The sequence below is a fragment of the Homo sapiens genome, chromosome 21, assembly GCF_000001405.40.
Source record: "Homo sapiens chromosome 21, GRCh38.p14 Primary Assembly".
Taxonomy (NCBI): Eukaryota; Metazoa; Chordata; class Mammalia; order Primates; family Hominidae; genus Homo; species Homo sapiens.
This window is the reverse complement of record NC_000021.9, coordinates 41,613,786-41,634,335: the sequence shown is the minus strand read 5'-3', so window position 1 is coordinate 41,634,335 and position 20,550 is coordinate 41,613,786. Positions and strand designations below refer to the sequence as shown.

At 48.2% G+C, this 20,550-nt stretch overlaps 2 annotated features.

Moving 5' to 3' along the window:
* Positions 10,841-12,040: an enhancer, noted in NCBI's record as "BRD4-independent group 4 enhancer chr21:43042456-43043655 (GRCh37/hg19 assembly coordinates)". NCBI's record gives its function as "activates an origin of replication core promoter dependent on BRD2, P300/CBP, MED14 and CDK7 cofactors, and independent of BRD4, by STARR-seq in HCT116 cells {active_cell/tissue: HCT116}" and the evidence as "EXISTENCE:reporter gene assay evidence [ECO:0000049][PMID:35650434]".
* Positions 13,105-13,625: an enhancer, noted in NCBI's record as "H3K27ac-H3K4me1 hESC enhancer chr21:43040871-43041391 (GRCh37/hg19 assembly coordinates)". NCBI's record gives its function as "activates a minimal SCP1, AML or CMV promoter by ChIP-STARR-seq in naive H9 embryonic stem cells {active_cell/tissue: H9 hESC(naive)}" and the evidence as "EXISTENCE:reporter gene assay evidence [ECO:0000049][PMID:30033119]".

Below are 20,550 nucleotides of genomic sequence, written 5' to 3'. Positions count from 1 at the left end.
TTCCCAGGAACCGGTCCCAGGCTGCGGAGCAGGGGAGGGGACAGTGGGGTTGGGGGTGCACCCAACTCTGAGTGCAGGGCTGCTAAGAGACAGGCCGGGAGAAGGAAGGAGGAGGGGCAGCTCAGTGGCTGCTCCAGGATCATGGCACCGCTTGTGCCCCATGACTGTCGCTGGGCCCATTCAATCTGCTCTGTCTGCTTCCCCAGTAGAGCAGTGGCACCATGAGGGGCAAGACCCTGGTCTCAAAAGCCTCTGTAGCTTCAGGGACAAGCGCAGCTCCTGGCATGCATGTTAGCAGGTGCATAAGACTTTTCCATGAGATGGACGGATGATGAATGAATGGGTGGTAGATGGATAGAGGGATGGATGGAGGATGAATAGATGGAGAGATGAATAAACAGATGGACAGATAATGGAGAGTGATGGATGGTGGGTGGATGATGAATGGATGGATGGACAGTTGGGCTAATGATGGATGAATAATGGACCGATGGGTGACAGATGAATGATGGATGGTGAATGGACGATGAAAGGATGGAGGGATGATAAATAGATAGAGGGTGTATGAACAGATGAGTGGATGGATGGACAGATGATGAAAGAGTGATGGATGGTGGATCAATGTGAGTGGATGGATGGATGGACAAATGGATAATGGATGGCGCATGGGTGGATGGATGCACAGATAGAAAAATGAACAGGATTCTGGGACACAAGGAAGATATTTGGGATCCTGCCCAAATCCCCACTGTAGCAGGCAATTCAATGAAATACTGAAAGCAGCCACGCTTACGTGTGGGGTGTTTAGAAGGAGGAGCCCCTCTTTCCTCTTCCCCAGCAGCCCACACAGGACCCAGGCTTGGATGTACAGGCACAGAGCAGGAGAGGAGAGTGACAGACGGAGAAAGGGGTGCTCAGGAGCGGTGGGGAGCTGAGGATGGCGGCCCACAGCCTCCCAGTTTCCCAGGCCTCCACCTCTGCCTTTTCCCCAAGTCAACTGGCAGGCCCCGGCCAGGCTAGCAGTTCTGGGGAGAGTCTAACCTGGGGCGTGACTCTGCTCTGTGGAGAGGAGCTGCAGGGGCCCCCAATTACACCTACCCTTTCCCTGCGCACCTTTCGTCTGGTGCAGAGGGCTGTGATTACCCGCCCCCAACCCTTCTTACAAGTGACATAAAACTGTGGCATTCAGAGCAGCGACTTTCAAGCTGCCCCTGACTTAATGAGCTGCCAGTGGAGTTCTTGAGCTAGGTCAGAAGGAGGGGACGTAATTGCATGTTTGCTGCTGGAGGGAGTCCTCCTCTCTGGCGTTAGGTCTGAGGGGAGCAAGTGAAGGCTGACAGGTGCAAGAGGAAGTTGGTCACTGCCTTCCAGCTGGGCCTGGTGCCCAGGTGGAGGAGCCTCCAAACCTCTTGGCACAGAGGATCTGCCTGAGCCCACAGTGGAGCTCAGCCCTTGATACCCACACCTGGCCTGAAATAACCCTCCCCTTTGCAGGTGGCAGGGGCTGTACCTGGAAGCGAATGAGCTGAAGTTCCAGGGGCCCAATCTACTCCAACCCAGGGAGCACCCAGAGCTTCTGGGAGCTATAGAGGGTTGTAGGTGAGGAGAGGATGCCAGAATTCAATCTATTTAAAAGAGATTGCAGAAGGACAGAGGAAGAGACCTGAATCTCCATGGCGCTAACACTTTCTGGTGATTTATTCACATTCTAAATAGGAACTCATATTTGTATCTTACTTTGATTTAATGACTTTATATTATTTTTCTTAAAGAGAGCGAATTGTCTAAGCTTCAATCCAAAGCACCTGAAGGGGCTCCTGACTGCTGGTGTGTTCACAAGTCAGTGGCAAACAATTGTGAGCCGGAGGTGAGACCCACCCTGGCCTCCACCCAGCCCCATCAACCACACAGAGACTGGGTGTCGTGCACTCATCACAGGATCGAGATGTTTGCTCAAGGACTCCAAGCATCAGGGCTGCTGCCCTGTCCGCTGGGTGTCCCCAGACACGTTGCCTCCATGCGGGCTGGCGCTCATCTGCCTCTGCCTCAATCCTCCAGAGAGCACCTCTGGCACTCCTGACACAGGACAAACCAAAGCCCCCCTGCAGCTCAGAAACGCTATTTTGATGCCTCCCCCACCCCCTGCCTCTTCCCAGGTCATGAGTCAAGCCACTGCTTGAAGGAGCTCCTCCCTCAGGCCAGGCACTGTGCCAGCTGCCATCAGCTGCATAGCTGGGCCTATTTCTCTTGTTCGCTGTGGTTACAGGTGGAATCATGCCCCACCCCCAAACCTCAGGGCAGGACACCCGGTGTCCCTTGTCTCTTCCAGAGGGTCACCTGTGCCCTCATGCAGCAGCTCTGGTAGACACATTCTTCCGGTAACCCCATCTCCTCTTCCGCAGGGCCAGCTCAGGAACATCCACTGCCCCCCACTCCTCTCCTGGTATCCCCGCAGGCACAGCGGCAAAGCAACCCTTTCCCACACATCTTCCCATCTGCCCCTGCTCACTGCTGCCAGGGAGGTGCCACCTCCACGCTTACCCACTCTCAGGAAAGGACATAATCCACCCTCCCTCCAAGAGCTCATGGACTGCCAGGATCCTAAACATCATCCCACACTCCTGCTGTGTGGGGGCAAGGCCTCTCCAAGTGCCCCCACTGGCTGTTGCCCTCCTCCAGTCCTGCCTGGGCCCCCATGCCAGACCTGCCTCAGCTCTCCTCTGTGGGAGGATGTAGTGGTTGAATTGTGTCCCCTAAAAAGAAATATTCAAAAAGACAAGCTCACAATCTCCAGTACCTGTGAATGTGCACTTATTTAGAAATCAGCTCTTTGCAGTTGTAGTGAAATTAAGAAGAGGTCATACTGGGCTGTAGTGGGCCCTAAATCCAATGAGTGTCCTTATTGGAGACAGAAAATGTCACATCGAGACAGAGAGGAGGAGGCCACGTGAAGATGCAGGCAGAGAGTGACGTGGCCATGAGCCAAGGAGAGCCAGGGATTGCTGGAGCCACTGAAGCTGGAGAAAGGCAGGGACCGATTCTCCCAGAGCCTTCCTATGAAACCAGCCCTGCAGTCACCTTGATGGCAAACTTTCGGCCTCCAGAACTCTGGGAGGATCAATTTCTGTGACTTTAAGTCCCCGGTTTGTGGTGCTTTACCGCGGCAGCCTCAGCGAACGCATGCCGAGGATGGCAACCACGACAGCAGCTGCAGCCCAGCCCAGGCCGGCCCTGCCACCCTCTCCTGCTGGATCCTTCCCTGGGACAGCCCAGGCCTCGCTTCCAGGGAGAGGGAAGCACAGGGGACAGGGTGAGGGGCAGGGCAAGGTAGGCTCCACGACCGTGTGGAGCCGGCCCAGGGAGGGAGAACCCCCAGACGCATTTGGCACCCCAAGGGGAGACGGACCTCGGATTGAACCACACCTTGATATGTGTACTTGGGATTTGTCTTTTCGGGAGAGGGAGAGGTCAAAAAATAAAATAGAATTCCAGCTTTAGGGCAAATGACTGAGACCATCAATTCATGTGTAGGTATTGACTGAGGTTGATCATTTTGACTCTCAAACTGTGGTTGTAAATGATAATCGCCATGAATTCTGCAAATGATTGATGGTGCAACAGTTTAAATCCCTAGGAAGGAGTTGGCTAAGATTCTGTCAACACAACTTCAAGCCCTCGGTGTTTTTGGCTTCTTCAGGAGAACTGGATGATGGAAAACATTTTTTTTTTTCTTTTTAATCATAGCTGCCTGAATTGCTCATCATTGCTTAGACGGCTTGTGAAGGCAAACATATTGCCCCATAAATTCTCAACTGTCCTGTGCAGAGCGTCATGAGTCACCCGGGGTTCTTAAGGATGAATGGATGGTGGAGCGGCTTCTCAGGAAGATTAGCGAGAAGTCACGGCTGCGCTTGCCAGGCCAGGCCTCTGCAGAACTGACTCACGTGGACAAGGAAACAGCATCAGGGTAGGCGGCCTGACACGGAACTTTGAGAGCAGCGATTCTGCAACCTTCCACATAGGCGTACCCCCATGTGTCGGGGCGTCTCCCCATTTTGTTGTTGCTTTTTCTTATAGGTATGTACAGTAAGTCTTCACTTAACTTGCTTGATAGGTTCTTGGAAACTGTGACTTTCGGCAAAATGACATATAATGCAACCAGTTCACCACAGGTTAGTTGACGTAAACAAGAGTTAAGTTCTTAAGGCATATTTTTGGTCGCGAAAACATCGCCAAATTTTTATTGTTGGTCTTATTTTTATTTATTTATTTATTTTTTTGCTTTTTGTTTTTTTGAAACAGTATCTCCCTCTGCTGCCCAGGCTGGAGTGCAGTGGCACAATCATGGCTCACTCTATCCTCCACCTTCCAGGCTCAAGTGATCCTCCCACCTCAGCCTCCCCAAGTAGCTGGGACCACAGACACATGCCACAGCACCCAGCTAATTTTTAAATTTTTGTAGAGATGAGGTCTGGTCTCAACTCCTGGTCTCAAGCAATCCTCCTCCCTTGGCCTCCGAAAGTGCTGGGATTATAGGCATAAGCCATCACACCTGGCCCAAATTTTGAAATAAAGATCAAAACACTTCTAATATTAAACATCGAAACAAATATGAGCTTTTCATACATTTAAGAAAAATTAAAAACTGGTAACACTATTGAAAGCAATCTGCAGATTTGGTACAATCTCTGTCAAAATAGTTCACAGGAATAGAAAAAAAAATCTTAAAATTTGTATGGAACCCCAAAAGACCCCAAATAGCCAAAGAAATCCTGAGCAAAAAGAACAAAGCTGGAGGCATCACACTGCCTGACTTCGAAATATATTGCAAGCCTATAGTAACCAAAACAGCATGGCACTGGCATAGAAACAAACACATAGACCAATGAAACAAATTATCGACAGAAATTAATCCATGTATCTATAGTGATCCGATATTTGACAAAGGCACCAAGGACACTCATCAGGGAAAGTGTGGAGTCCTGATAAGATAAGTAAGCAACAATCAGGAGGGACCCCAGGTGGGGAAGGGCCCCAGGTGGGGAATAACAACGAACAATTATTCTGAGAGATGGCCAATCACAAACAACCGGATGACAGGATGACAATGACCTAGTTCCTGGTGGCCCCAGCAGCATGACCTCCTTTTGTTGGCCCCTCCAGCATGACCCTATAAAACTTCCCTCCAGCCCCTGCCTTTTTGTAGACAGCCCATTGCAACCTTGCAACCTTGCAACATATTCTCATACCTTCTCTAATAAATCTGCCTTTCTTTACCTACTACTCTCTTGGCAAATACCTTTACCACCTGCGACACCAGCCCTAGCTAGTCACCACCCGTGACAGAAAGGCAGAAATCTGCCTTCTTTACCTTTTTTCATGTATGTGTTGGCCATTTGTATGTCTTATTCTCGGAAATGTCTGTCACATCATTTGCCCATTTTTAAATTGAATTGGTTTTGTTGTTGTTTTGCTCTTGAGGTGTTTGAGTTCCTTGTATATTCTGGATACTAATCTTTCATCAGATGAATACTTTACAAATATTTTCTCCTATTCTGTAGATTGTATTTTCATTTTGTAGATTGTTTCCTTCGCTCTGCAGAAGCTTTTTAGTTTGACATAATCCCATTTGTTTATTTTTGCTTTTGTTGCCTGTGCTTTTGAGGTCTTATTTGTAAAATCTTTTCCCAGACCAATGTCCTAAAGCATTTCCCTGTTTTGTTTTTTCTAGGAGTTTTATAGTTTTGGGTCTTGCCTTTGAGGTCTTTGATCCATTTTCAGGTGGCTTTTGTATGCAGTGAGAAGTGGGGGCCTAGTTTTATTCTGCTGACATCTGCACTCCCAGTGTTTATTGGAGCAATATTCACAATAGCTGAGATATGGAATCCTGGCTTGTGTCCAACAACAGATGAATGGATAAAGAAAAACGGGGCGTATATACACCATGGAATACTATTCAGCCATATGTAAGAATGAGATCCTGTCATTCACGGTAATGCCCTTCCATTGCAGGATCAGATCCACATCCACACTCACTCCAGACAAACGGAACTGGAGAGCATGATGCTGAGTGAAACAAGCCAGGAACAGAAAGCTAAACCCTGCACGCTGTCACTCACACACAGAAGCTAAAAAAAGTGGATCTCATAGACATAAAAAATAGAACAAGGGGCCAGGTGTGGTGCCTCATGCCTGTAATCCCAGCACTTTGGGAGGCCGAGGCGAGTGGATCACCTGAGGTTGGGAGTTCGAGACCAGCCTGACCAACATGGAGAAACCCCGTCTCTACTAAAAATACAAATATTAGCCGGGCTTGGTGGTGCATGCCTGTAATCCCAGCTATTTGGGAAGCTGAGGTAGGAGAATCACTTGAACCCGGGAGGCAGAGGTTGTGGTGAGTGGAGATTGCACCATTGCACTCCAGCCTGGGTAGCAAGAGTGAAACTCTGTCTCAAAAAAACAAAAACAAAAAAGTAGAACAGGGGATGTTGGAGGCTGGGAAGGATAGGGGGAAGAGGGGGAAAGAGAGAGACTTGTTAAAGGACATAAAATTACAGCTAGATAGGAGGAATAAGTCATCATGCTCTATACAACTGTGGGATGACTATGGTTAATTATAATATATCATAGAGTTTCAAATAGCTACAGGGAGGATATGAATGTTACCACACAAACACATGACAAATGCTTGAGATGAGGGCTGGGTGCATTGCCCTGATCTGGTTACCATCAAATGGTTTGCACATGTTCTTCTACTTGTGTCATATTTAACAATAAAGAAGTTTCCCCATCTTTAGGCTGGGCGTGGTGGCTCATGCCTGTAATCCTAGCACTTTGGGAGGCTGCAGCAGACTGATCACTTGAGGTCAGGAGTTTGAGACTAGCCTGGCCAACAGAGTGAAACCCCGTCTCTACTAAAAATACAAAAATTAGCTGAGTGTGGTGGCGGGCGCTTGTAGTCCCAGCTACTCGGGAGGCTGAGGCAGGAGAATCACTGGAACCCTGGAGGCAGAGATTGTAGCCAGCTGAGATTGAGCCATTGCACTCCAGCCTGGGTGACAGAGCGAGACTCCATCTCAGAGAAGTTTCCCCATCTTTAACAGTCTGAAACCATTGCTTTAGTCCACTCACTCTCTTATACATCATATGGATGGAAACATTACCACGTACCCCACAAATATGTACAATTATTATGTGACAATTTAAAACATTTAGAAAAACAAACAAAAAACAAGTAAGATAACTATGTACCCAATTATTTCAGTTCAGGGTGGAGTGTCTGGAGCTTCTCCTGGCAACTCTGAGTGGAAGGTGGGAGCCAGCACGGACAGGACACCCTTCCATCAAGGGGCGCACCCACACCCACGTTCCCTCAGATGGGGACAATTTAGACCTGCGAATTCACCTAATGTGCACAGTTTGGGCTGCAAGAGGAGAACACTAGCGTGGACACTGGGGGACTGTGCAGACTCCACACAAACAGTGGCCCCTGGATGGGGAGTGATTTCTTTTGTCTCATCAACATTGTAATACAATGACATTGGATAAAATGACGTTATTTGGGGACCTGCTGCACTGCATACATGGGGACATCATGTAAGTGCAGAGGAGTAAACCTAGGTCCCCCTCTCTCTAAGCATGTAGTAGAGTACATACAGGTGTACACTGATCTACTTTATGTATAATGTAGCCAGTGGACTAAAGCAACAATTTTCAGACTTTTAAAGGTGGAGAAACTTCTTTATTGTTAAATAACGACACACATAGAAGAACGTGCACAAAACAAACAAACAAACCAAAACACAACTCAATAGCGATCACAAAGCAGACCCCTGTGGCCAGCACTGACAAGCCCTGCCTCCATGTTGCCTTAAGAAAAAGAAACACCTGCTGGAGAAAAAAAGCAATCCTCTATTTCGGAAAACATGCTTAGGTGGTAAATTATAAAGGAAAGCAAAAGAGTTATTACAGCAAAAGTTCTCTGGGTAGAAAAGAGAGGAGTGGGGCGGAGGGGACTGGGATTGGGAAGGAACACAGAGCAATGAGGACCTTGTTGGCCCCAGGCTCTCTGTGTGCCCATCCCCGCCCGGTGCTCTGTGCAGCAGGACTTTGTTCTTCTTCATGGCTGGGTGGTGTGGTACTCTGCTGTGGGATTCCATTGTGAATGCTCTTCTGGACTGTCTCAGTCTGGGGCTATGATGATATGTTGCCATAAACTCTCTGGGTCTTGCTAGGGAGTGTGTGAAGGCCGATGCATTCTCCCCTTTCTCCCTTCGTTCTTCTCTCTCCCCTGCCCATCCTCCTTCCCTCTCTTTCTTTCTCCCTCCCTTTTTTCCTGCTTCCGGGGACAGGACTGTGAGGCCCTGTCTGCTCCTGACTGGGGCAGCTTGGGGACCCCACCAAGGCTGCACCCGGGAAAGCAAACCTGTGTCTGATCTCCCGAATGCCTGCAATGGTGCCTCTTGCCCAGTGCTTCCTCCTCCCAGCCCACTGAGGGTGCACACTAGACCCGATTTTCAGCCTTGGCTACCAGATCTTTTCCTCCTCAGCAGAAATATGCATGATGCGATTTGTAAGGAGCAGCCTGTGACCTTGACCTTGGGATCCGTAAAGGGCCCAGGCTTTGCTCAGGTGATTCTTGTCTGGATGACCCCCTCCCCTACTCCTTCAGACCCTGTGCATCCAGCTCACCTTCTCATAACCCACCTCCTCCAGGAAGCCTCCTGGGGTTTCCCTAACCCCTGTACACTCTCCTTCTCATGCTCCCGGTGCCTTGGGATCTACACTGCACCCCCTGTCCCCACTCTGTGTGCAGGAGGATGGGTGTGTGAATGCTACCAAGTTGTTTCATTTCTCACCAGGCTAAAAATGTTCACATCTTCTGATTGGACAGTCCAAGTTCTAGAACTCTATTCACATAAATGCTACCAGAAGTGCTTCAGGATGAATGGACAGGCTGTGTTGAGTGTCTAAACATGGGCACATACCTTCAATACAGCATCTGGTTATGGAGAGCCAAGATCTCACCATTGCACTCCAGCGTGGGCAATAAGAGAAAAACTCTGCCTCAAAACAAGCAAGCAAGCAAACAAACAAAGAAAGAAAACTGAGACAGTTAAGTGGGAAAAGCGAGTTTCAAGCAACAAGCCTAGCATAGTTCCACGTTTAGAAAAAACCCAGACTCCCACGAGTGTCAGGGCTGTGTGCATGGGAACAGCTCAGGAAGGGCACGTGGTCAGCTGTGTTAGGATTGACCCAGAAAGTACAGTGGGGAACCTTCCATCACTTCCTTTATACAGTTTGTATTGTTCAAACTTGTTATAATAGGCATGTGCTTACTTTCATAATTAAAAAGTAACAATAAAATGTTGAATGAAATAAAACAATTTGTTAAAACCTATGGAAATGTACTACACAAAGAGTGAAACCTAGCGTGAACTATGAACTGTAGTTAATAATCTATCAATATTGCTTCATCGGTTGTATCCAATGGAGCACACTAATTAATGCAAGATGCTGAATATAGGGGAATGTATGTGAGGGAGAAGGAATATGGGGAGACTCTCTGCACTATCTACATAATTTTCCTATAAACCTGATATGGTTTGGCTCTGTCCCCACCCAAATCTCAACTTGAATTGTATCTCCCAGAATTCCCACTTGTTGTGGGAGGGACTCAGGAGGAGGTAATTGAATCATGGGGGCCGGTCTTTCCCACACTATTCTCATGATAGTGAATAAGTCTCACGAGATCTGATGGGTTTATCAGGGGTTTCCGCTTTTGCTTCTTCCTCATTTTCTCTTGCCACCACCATGTAAGAAGTGCCTTTTGCCTCCTGCCATGATTCTGATGCCTCCCCAGCCATGCGGAACTATAAGTCCAGTTAAACCTCTTTTTCTTCCCAGTCTTGGGTGTGACTTTATCAGCAGCATGAAAAAGGACTAATACAAAACCTAAAACAGTTATAAAAACAAAGATTATTTTTAAAAAGAGAGAAATAGATAACTAGTGGATACTCAGAGTAGAACAGAAATTAACAATTTTTTTTTCCTGCGAAGGGCCAGATGATACAGTAAATAATTTTGGCTTTGAGGGCCATGAGGCCTCTGTGGAAACGACTCACATTTGCAGTTGTCTTGTAAAAGCAGCCTTAGGCAGTGTGTAAGTGAAGGAGTGTAGCTGCGTTCCAATAAAACTTTATTTACAAAAATAGGCGGCAGGGCCAGGGCTGTAGTTTCCCAGCCCCTCGTGCAGAAGCAAGGAAGGGTTTGGGTAGGTTTTTCATCAGATCAAGGAAAAAGCCGAGAAGTCACCCACTCATCTCCGACGAGCTAGGAACCCCAGAAAACAGTGAGATTCTTTTCCTTGCTGTGGTAGCTGGGTTTTATCACATTTATAGCAGCATAGATTTTAAAAATGGACTTTCTAGTTCAGTTTCACATTGTCTGACCTCAACAGAACTGAGGGTCATTAAAGGTTGAGGATACAGAGAGTGCTGATAATTTAGTTAGACAAGATTCTTCAAAAAATAATTGTTCTGCTCCCTCTGGGCCATTGCACCAGCTCCTCTGCCGTCTGCAAGGATTTCTCCTTCTGCAGATGTGGCCGTATGATTTCCAAGGTCCAGGACTGCCATAGCTTGGTATGTGGGTTCTTGCTCTGGGGAGCTTGGAAGCTCTGGTGAAAGGGTCAGCTGCAGAAAACTGTTGTTTTCATTTCATGAGAAAGATGAAGAAGAGAAATTACACAAAATGCTTTTGGTAAATCGTGAAGTTGTGTGGACAGAAAGGAAAAACGTTAGGAGTTCTCATTCTCAGCGTTCACTCTGCAAAGACTATGGGGAGAAGAACAGATGAGACAATGGCCCCGTTATTGGTCTTGTCATGAGTCAGGTCCGAAATACGTGGTATCTATTCAGTATCTCATGGAATTCTCACAGCAGCTCTATGGATTAGGGATGAATGTACCCATTCTGCAGATGAGAAGCACAAGGCTTAGAGAAATTGAGTACGTTTTCCAGGAAATTATAGCTTTAAAACTGCTAAATATTGGAGCTGATCTGAATCCACAGTCCGCCCAGGAACCACCTCTAGTGAGGGAAGTGTTGTGACCGTGTTTCCTTCCTGTTCAAGTTGGCCTCAAATGCCCGGCTCTGGGTCTGCCTGCATCGGTGTGCGTGTTCCATGAACGGTGACACACGTGTGAGTGTCACCACCTCAGCGGCGGCCTGCTCTGCTGACTCAGCCCCCACGAGGGCCACCCTGGGCTGAGCCGCCCATGCCCTGAGCCACGAGGGATTTTCCGCAGTCCTGAGTCAGATCAGAGGCCAGGAAGGGCTGCTCAGAAATGAGCTTCGTGGGTGAGCTCACGCTGGCAGGGGAGGCTGGGGAGGCCAGTGCCGCAGAGGTGAGAGATGGGAGAGGTTTTGTTCACGGTCACCGGTGCCGTTCCACCCCTCCACTGCCGCTTTCTCCTGTTACAGCCACACTCTGAGAGCTTTGGACCCATCTCCTGCCCATCCTGGCTGAGCAGGATTGGGCGGTAGCTCCCTGCTTCTCACCCAGTGGGCGCTCAGTGCTGTCTGCTGAATGAGATGACCGTGTCCAAGCCTCGGGTGTCTCTTGCCTCTCCTCCACAGTGTATGTACTGGCTGAATAGTGTCCCCCAAAATTCGTGTCCACCTGGAACCTCAGAATGTGACCTTTATTGGAAATAGGGTCTTTGCAGGTACAATTAATTTAATTAAAATGAGATCATAGTGTATTAGGGTGAGCCCTAAATCCTATATGACTGGTGTCTTTACAGAAAGAGGAGAACAGGCACAAAACACACAGAGGGGAGACAGCCACGCAACAGCAGAGTCAGAAATGAAGCAATGTGCCCCCAAGCCGAGGAACGCCAGCTGCCATCAGAGACTGGGGAGATGAGGAATGACCCCCGACCCTGGAGCCTTCCGAGGGAGCAGGGCCCAGCGGTCTCTGCTTGTCCCCGTTCTTTCAATCTGCTTCCAGATTCCATCAGGAAATCTTGGTTTCGGGATCCTAGCCTCCAGAACTGTGGGAAGATGAATCGTTTTTGTTTTAAGCCCCCAAGCTTGTGACGATTTTTTAGGACAGGACACTCACATGGTGTATACACAGGCTCTCCCCGAGCAGAAGGTCACAAATCCTATCCATGAATCAACCAGGCAGGGCACATTTTCCTTCCCTCTTACCTTGTTGCAACTGGCTAAGTAACTGAGTTAGGAAAGAAGAAAGAGAAGTAATAATAGTAATAATAATCATATAGACCGAAGCCCTCCTGGCCCTATTATAAGTGGAGGGGTCCAGACCCAGTGGCCGTCTTTGTCTCCATAAGGGGGAAGACTTGCTTGCCCAGAAGACCCGGATTGTCCAGAGAGAATTCCTCTCTCCCGAGTTCCTGGTGTGCTTGTGAGAACGGGCCTCAGCTCGTAGAAAAATGGGTTCAGAGAGCGGCAGGAGCTGGCTGTCCCGGCTTCTCTGCCTTCGGGGTGAAGCTGGTTGGGGGAGGGAATGTGCTTGTCCTGGGGTTCCCCAGGATGACGGGTCTGGGTTGTGGATTTCCAATACCATTCTGAACAAGCTGCGTTCAGGCAGCTGCTTTTGGGCGGGGTCCAACGGGGAGAGGCGGGTGTTGGTGTACATCTGGGTAAGACCAGGCTTTGAACCCCAGCTCCCCCAGTCATTGGCTCCTGTTATTAAATAAGAACAGCTGCCTTATCTGGCATTGAAAGACACAGAGTTAATCTAAGTAAAATATCCAGCACACAATACAGTCTTAGTAAATTTTTTTTTTTTTCCCGAAACAGAGCCTCATTCTGTCACCCAGGCTGGAGTGCAGTGGTGCGATCTCTGCTCACTGCAACCTCCATCTCCCGGGTTCGAGCAATTTTCATGCCTGAGCCTCCCAAATAGCTGGGATTACACATGTGCGCCACCATGCCAGGCTAATTTTTTGTATTTTTAGTAAAGACGGGGTTTCACTACGTTGGCCAGGCTGGTCTTGAGCTCCTGACATCAAGTGATCTGCCAGCCTTGGCCTCCCAAAGTGCTGGGATTGCAGGGGTGAGCGCCCAGCCAAAGGTTGCTTTTTAAAGGATTCCTCACAAAGTAACAGAGGTTATTAATTTGCGCAATATGTTTTAAATTCTTTTTATAAGACCTCATCATCGATTTCCTAATGGAATCTGGAAGCAGATTAAAAGAACGGGGACAAGAAGAGGAATTGACCTTGTTCCTCACACACTGAAACGTCCCTTGGGCTTACCACTTCTTTATTGATTTGTTGCTAAACATGCACGTGAATATTTGAGTAGATAGACCACTGGCCCCAAATGCTGCCCCTGCCCACTGCCATCTCCTCAGCTGGGCCCTGCAGACATCACCAAGACTAAAGGGAAGGAGAAAGACTCTAACCCTTGGCAAAGCCAGTGACTGACAGCTGCAAGGCTCAGGGTGGCCGCAGCCGGGGAGAGGTACCTGGGCAGGTGCCATCCAAGCCTCGGACTTCCCTCAAACCAGCACCCCTGGGACCCGCCCCCCATCTTCTTGGTTGGCCATGCATCAAGAGTGGCCAGGCACTTCCGGGGCCAGCTGGGTGGGTTAGAGAAAGGTTTTCCTCTGAGCTGGAGGCAGTCAGGCTTGCAGCCCCCAACTGGCACCCCACACACCTCAGGAGCAGGACCCTGGAGCTGGAGGGGCATACACCACCCTTGCCCTTTGTGCAAGTGGCAGAGGCTCAGACGGGACAGCAGGCTGAGGGCCTTGGGGGTGCCAAGTGCTGTCCTGGTGGAAATGAACTTGAGACCCATGACACCGGGCAGGGTGGGGAGGGAAGTCACCTCCCCTTTACTAAACAGCTATAGCAGGAGAGACAGGGCTTGTGGTGGAAGAACAAGGTGTTTGCTCACCCATGTGTGTGGCTCCTTGGCCAGCGATGACCTCCATTCACTGGTTCATTCATTCACTCATCATTTCCTGTTCTCTCTGCCTGGAACTTTCTTTTGGACACCGACATTTCTATGTCCTGCCCTTCCTTCAGTTTCTGCTCAAATGCCCCCTTAGAGATGGCTGTCCTGTGGCCACCCCAAAGACCACAAACCACAGAGCATGTCTCAGCATAGGGGTTGGACAGACACCTCTCTGAACCAGGATACCTGCTCCTCAGTCTTCCTGCCTGGAATTGATGCCTCCCGTTCTGCCACCGGGGAGGAATCTGCCCTCTCTCCTCCTTCCCTCTGGAGACAAGTGGGAAAGGGTGGAGGAAGCAGCTCGAACGGAAACCTTCATCTCCGCTTTAGTCTCCAGTGCCATACCCAGTTGTCTTTCTTCATTACACCTCCATGTGCTAATTGCCTGTCTCCTCCAGTGAAAGATCTGCTCACAGCAGTGAGGACCTGTAGGGCTCCATCACTGCTGTATCACCAGCCCCCAGAATAGTGCCTGGCACCCTGTGCACACTGATAGAGAATTTAAAAATTATCGTGCTTTCTCACCATCTGTATTCGTCCATTTTCACGCTGCTGATAAAGACATACCCAAGACTGGGCAATTTACAAAAGAAAGAGGTTTATTGGACTTACGGTTTTACGTGGCTGGGGAGGCCTCACAATCATGGTGGAAGGCGAAAGGCACGTCTCATATGGCGGCAGACAAGGTAAGAGAGGTTGTGCAGGCAAACTCCCCTTTTTAAAAGCATCAGATCTCATGAGACTCATTTACTATCATGAGAACAGGGCAGGAGAGGCCCGCCCCCATGATTCAATCACCCCCTATCTGGGTTCCTCCCATGACATGTGGGAAGTGGGAGTTACAATTCAAGATGAGATTTGGGTGGGGACACAGCCAAACCATATCACGATCTCTATGGAGTAGAAAGTGAAAATCTTTCATAATCCTAAACCTCCTCCCAAACTGATCATTTAACAATTTGCTGTATGTTCTTCCACATTTTAAAGCAGATGTTAATTTTTAAAAACAACCATGGATGCTGTTATATTTAGCATTTTGCAACGTGCATAGCAATATATCTCAAACGTCTTTCCACATAAGTACAATACTTGACTTGTTCTTTCAAGTCATATACTGTATTCCACTGGTAGATGTGCCATAGCTTATGTGATAAAAACTTTGCTGATAGAAGTTCAGGTTGTTTTCAAATTTGGCTCTTCTAAAGCATACTGTAATAAATAGAGAGTACACACACACACACACACACACACACACACACAAATAAATACACAGTACACATGCTTTCATGTCTTTGTGTAATGATGGAAACATTTCAGAAGCTGATCAATGGATCTGAAGAGTTTTAATTTTATTAGACATTGCTAACCTGCTCTCCCAAAGACTGCGCCAGTTTATACTCTGTCTTAGCCATCTCAGGCTGCTCTAACAAAATACCATGTCCAGGTGGCTGAAACTACAGACACTTATTTTCTCTTTGTTTTGGAGGCTGGAAGTCTGAGATCAGGGTGCCAGCGTGGTTGGGTTCTGGAGAGGACTGTCTTCCAGGTTTTCAGACGGCCGCCTTCTCACAGGTTCTCACAAGGCCTTTTCTGGGGCATTTGCGGAGACAGATAGATAGATAGATAGATACACAGAGACAGATTGATCGATCGACCTTTCTCTTCTTATAAGGGCACTAATCCCATTATGAGGGTCCTACTCTCTTGACCTCATCTAAACCTAACCACCCCCAAAGGCCCTATCTGCAAGTACCATCACATTGGGGGTTAGGGATTCAACATACAAATTAAGGAGGGATATGAACATTCGTAGAGGCCCTAACACAGCCCTCAGCCCTCCATCCGTGTCCTGAGCACGCTCCTTAGTCCTATATGCATCAGCAAATGAGTCATACTTTTAGGTCTTTATTGGCAAAGTTTTTAACACTTTTTTGGAAACAGGTTAATCTCATGGTGTTGTCTTTTTTTTTTTTTTTTTTTTTGAGACAGTCACTCTGTTCCCCATGCTGAGTACAGTGGTGCAATCTCGTCTCACTGCAACCTCCACCGTCTTGGTTCAAGCGATTCTCCTGCCTCAGCCTCTTGAATAGTTGGGATTACAGATGTGTACCACCACCATGCCAGGCTAATTTTTGTATTTTTAATAGAGACGAGGTTTTGCCATGTTGGCCAGGCTGATCTTGAACTCCCGACCTCAGGTGATCCACCCGCCTTGGCCTCCCAAAATGCTGGGATTACAGGCGTGGGCCACCGCGCCCGGCTCATGGTGCTGTCTTGAGTGCTTTCATTCTGTGTTTACACTGTGTGTGTGTGTGTGTGTGTGTGTGTCTGCGCATGTGCTTGAGTGTGTGTTACATACATGATTGGACCCGTTGGGTGAACTTCTTCAGTGGTCGGACACCGTGCAACCTCATTACTCTGCTTTCACTGGATCAACACTGGAAAACACACACTGGGTAGCCATGATCATGTTGGCATCTGGTCCAAATGAATCAATGAAGGCTGTGTAGCCTACCACATCAAACAAGCCCTGGTCACCCTGACATGACGCTTGGGGAAAGCAGACCCCACAGTCTTGCCCTGCACTGCAGCAGGGGGAACCACTCTCCTACAGGGACAGGCGACATATGTAAATTCTGCCTCTCTTCCTAGAAACCACGGCAACTCATTAACAATAAGGCTAGTGAAAAAAAATACAGTGTAGATTTTCTTACTACAAGTTAATTTTTATTATATTTTTGAGTGGACTCATATTCTCGGGATCATCAAAGTAATAGATTAGAGGATAAACTGAGCTCTTTGTTAAAAAAGAGAAATAATAACAACCATCACTCAAAAGAGGGTCATTATTCTCAAAATCAAAAGGACTAAATCTATAAGTAAAATATAGAACACAAATATGGGTATTTTAAAAATGTGAACCCAGCATTGGTGACTCAGTTTTAACAAAATAGCATAATCCATCAAATTAAGCTTACATTGTTAATTTGAAATGTATTGGTGTTGTATTCTAATTTCATTGATAAATCTCTTTGATTTTTATTTACATAAGACCTATCATGGCTGGGTAATGTGCCACACACCTGTGGTCCCAGCTACTCAGGAGGCTGAGATGGGAGGCTTACTTGAGCCCAGGTGATTGAGGTTGTAATGAGCTGTGATCACACCACTGCACTCCAGCCTGGGCAACAAGCAAGACTGTCTCTAAAAAGAAAAGAAAAGAAAAGAAACAACAAAACAACAAAAAACTAAAAGAGCTATCAACGTAATATATTTGTAAGTCCTCTAGTGTTGCCACACATACAAGTAGCAGTAAAATAAAAATACTTTAACAAAAACTTAGGAGTCCACAGGATTTTTTTAAAAAGAGGATCTCTAAATGTAAGCTTGGGAAATGCTGGTTTAAGGCAGACTAAGCTGAAGGTTACACATCTCAGGCTTAGTCTGACTTGGAGAGGTGGGAAGTTTGTTGGAACTGGTGAGAGATCCCAGGAGCTGTGAGAATTCCCGCTCGCAGCTTTGACTGTAGCTCTGAACAACTTACTTCATTCACAGGATGGAGCCCAGGTGTATTAGGCAGTGAGTGGAGGAATCTAGTCTTCAGACGAGGGGCAGACCAGAGCTAGATTAGGGGCTCTTGGAATTATCCTCTTAGACCACTGAAGTGTAGGAAGGGAAGCCAAGGCACGTGGCCAGACCATGGCATTGGAGTGGGAGATGTCAGAGGGGACAGGGCTGTGACTCAGGAGTCATTCAGGCCCCACATCTGACCCCGTGGTCCCAGGAGGTCTGCCTGCTGACTGGGAGACCACTGCCCTGCCCAAGCGCTTTCTACCTTGGTCCTGAGGGCTCTGTCCTGGGGATGCTGCCAGAATCACAGGAGACTCTGTCCCGGAGGGCTGGGAAGGCAGCTGGCAACTGAACAGCCCATTGGCCATCCTGCCTGGCTGGACATGTGGGTTGTCTTTCATTTGTTATGACTAAGAATAGCACATTACCTCTTAAAAACTTTCCAGGCCTAGAAAATCTTCCCCACTCATTGGGGAGCAGGATGCTGGGCTCCTGATTAAATGCTTATCCTGGCACTTGAGCAGATTTGAATCTCTTTTTAAGGAATCTTTGGCCTTTCCCACAGGCAAGCTGCCCACAGCATGGGGAAGAGCGGCCGGTGCTCGCGTGAGGACGTCTCCAGCTCATCTGCTCCTGTATCTGAGAGCTGATGGCTGCTTTTGCATCTGCTTACTGGAACATTTTGCTTCCTTTATAATCAGCAACACAGAATATGGAATTGGCATCATTCTTGGGCTACATGGACTGATTTCTAGTTCCTGCCAAAAATATGTTTGAAACATCACTGAACAGACATTGTCTAAAAGTCTTGCTATCCATTTTTATTTTCCCAGTTTCATGTTGCTTCAAGTTAAAAATCATGAGAAAGCAGCAAACTGATTATTTTAGCTCCCCAAAATAAATTACTTTACTGAGTCATAAGTTAATGCAGTATCCTTGCATTCCATTTAGAGCCAGTATAAGAATGTTCCCCCAGTCTTCTGCCAAACCACACAGAAAGATGGAGTCTCAAATGAAAGTCTACGCAATATGCTTCTTCTGGATTGGCAACAACACAAAAGTGAGACATACACTCCCTTAGGCAGGCAGTGGGGAAACAGATACTTTCACATATTGCTGGCAGAGTACAAATTGGAGGCAAAGTGGCAATTTCCAGCAAAGCTATGAATGCATATCCACCTTTTGACCAGACGCTTATGCTTCTGGGAATCTGCCCTCCAGCTCTGTTTGCACATGTGCAAAATGATATTGTGCATGAGATGATTTCTTGTGGCATTTTAAATAATGGTGAAAGACTGGAAAGAAGCCAAATATTCCTTTTTCTTTTCTTTGAGACAGGGTCTTTCCCTGTTGCCCAGGCTGGAGCTGGAGTGCCATGGCAGGAGTCACAGCTCACTGAAGCCTCGAACTCACTGACTCAAGCAATCTTCTCACCTTAGCCTCCCAAGTAGCTGGGACTACAGGTGCGCACCAACACATTTGGCTAATTAAAAAAAATTCTTTAAAATATCTTTTAAGTACAGTGTCTTGCTATGTTGCCCAGTCTGGTCTCAAACTCCTGGCCTCAAATAATCTTCTGGCTTCAGCCTTCCAAAGTGCTGGGATTACAGATGTGAGCCCCTGGCCAGAAGCCAAATATTCTTAATAGAGGAGTAGCTAAACCTTTACAGAACTCCCCCACTATAAAATACTATTTACCTGTGAAAAATAATAAGGGGGTTCTCTATATGGATGAGCAGAATCATGGCCCCCAAAATGTGCCTGTTCTAATCTCTGGGACTTGTGAATATGTGACCTTATGTGGCAAAAGCCATTCTGTAAAGGTGATTTAGATCCAGATCTGCCTCACTCTGAAACCCCACTCCCCCACTGTGGCCCCGAGCCTGGCTAGAGATGCCGCCTGCTCCCTGTTGGACACGGTGGACCCGCCAGCATCCCCCTTGCCCACCCTGCACTGAGTGCGGGGGAGGAGGCTGCACAGACCACTCTGTGTCTTGCATTCCTGTCACTCCACCGTCACCCACACACGCAGGGCCTGAGGGCTGTTGGAATGCACCTGTTCATAGGCACATGCATTTATTTAACGGCTCTGTGCTAAAGTGTAGATGAGGAGAAGGAGTTTGTGCCAGGGTGTATCAGCTTCCTGCAAACGACCACAAACTCAGCAGCATGAACAGCATATTTAATGCATTGCTGGAGGTCGGGAGTCTGTGACGGGTCTCACTGGGCTAAGACCTAGGGCCGGCTCCTCCTGGAGGATCCAGGGCAGAATCTGTTCCTCGCCTTTCTCAGCTTCCAGGGGCTGTCCTCATTTCTAGGCCCATGGGCCCTTCCTCCCTCTTCAAAGCCAATGACGTTGGATCAGGTCCTCACTGCCACACTTCTGGCTGCTAGTTCCCTTTTAAGAACACTGTGAGGACTCTGGGCCTGCGGGATCCCCCAGGATCTCCTCCTTAGGTTAAGGGTGGTGTTCACCAATCCAGTTCCACCTGCAACCCCAACTCCCCTCTGCATGTGATATGATGCACTCACGGCGAATAGGGCTAGGGTGGAGGCATCTTGGTGGAATGGTGGGGTCTTCACTCTGCCTGCCACACAGGAAACAGGTGGCATCCAGGACATTCCAAGCCCCCACGCTTCCTAGAATAAGACCCAAACTCTACCCAGGGCCATGATGGCACTGCAAGGTTACAGGCCCGATGGCCCCTCTGCCCCAACCTGGGTCCCTGGGGGACTGGAAGGAGCCGAGCTCTTCCCCACTCAGGTCTCCTTTCCGCTGTCCTCTGTGGGGGCTCTGCTGCTCCTCCTCCGGTTTCAGGCCTCGCTCCTCCCACTGTCCCTCTCAGGTGTGCTCCCCGCTGGGGCTTCTCCCGTGGCCTCTGCTCCGTTGCAGTTCCCATCGCCTGGTTTACTGCCCCCTTTCCTGGATTATGTGCTCCCTCCCAGAGGCATCAACCACACCTGCCTGTCTCTCACCATGCTGTGCCAA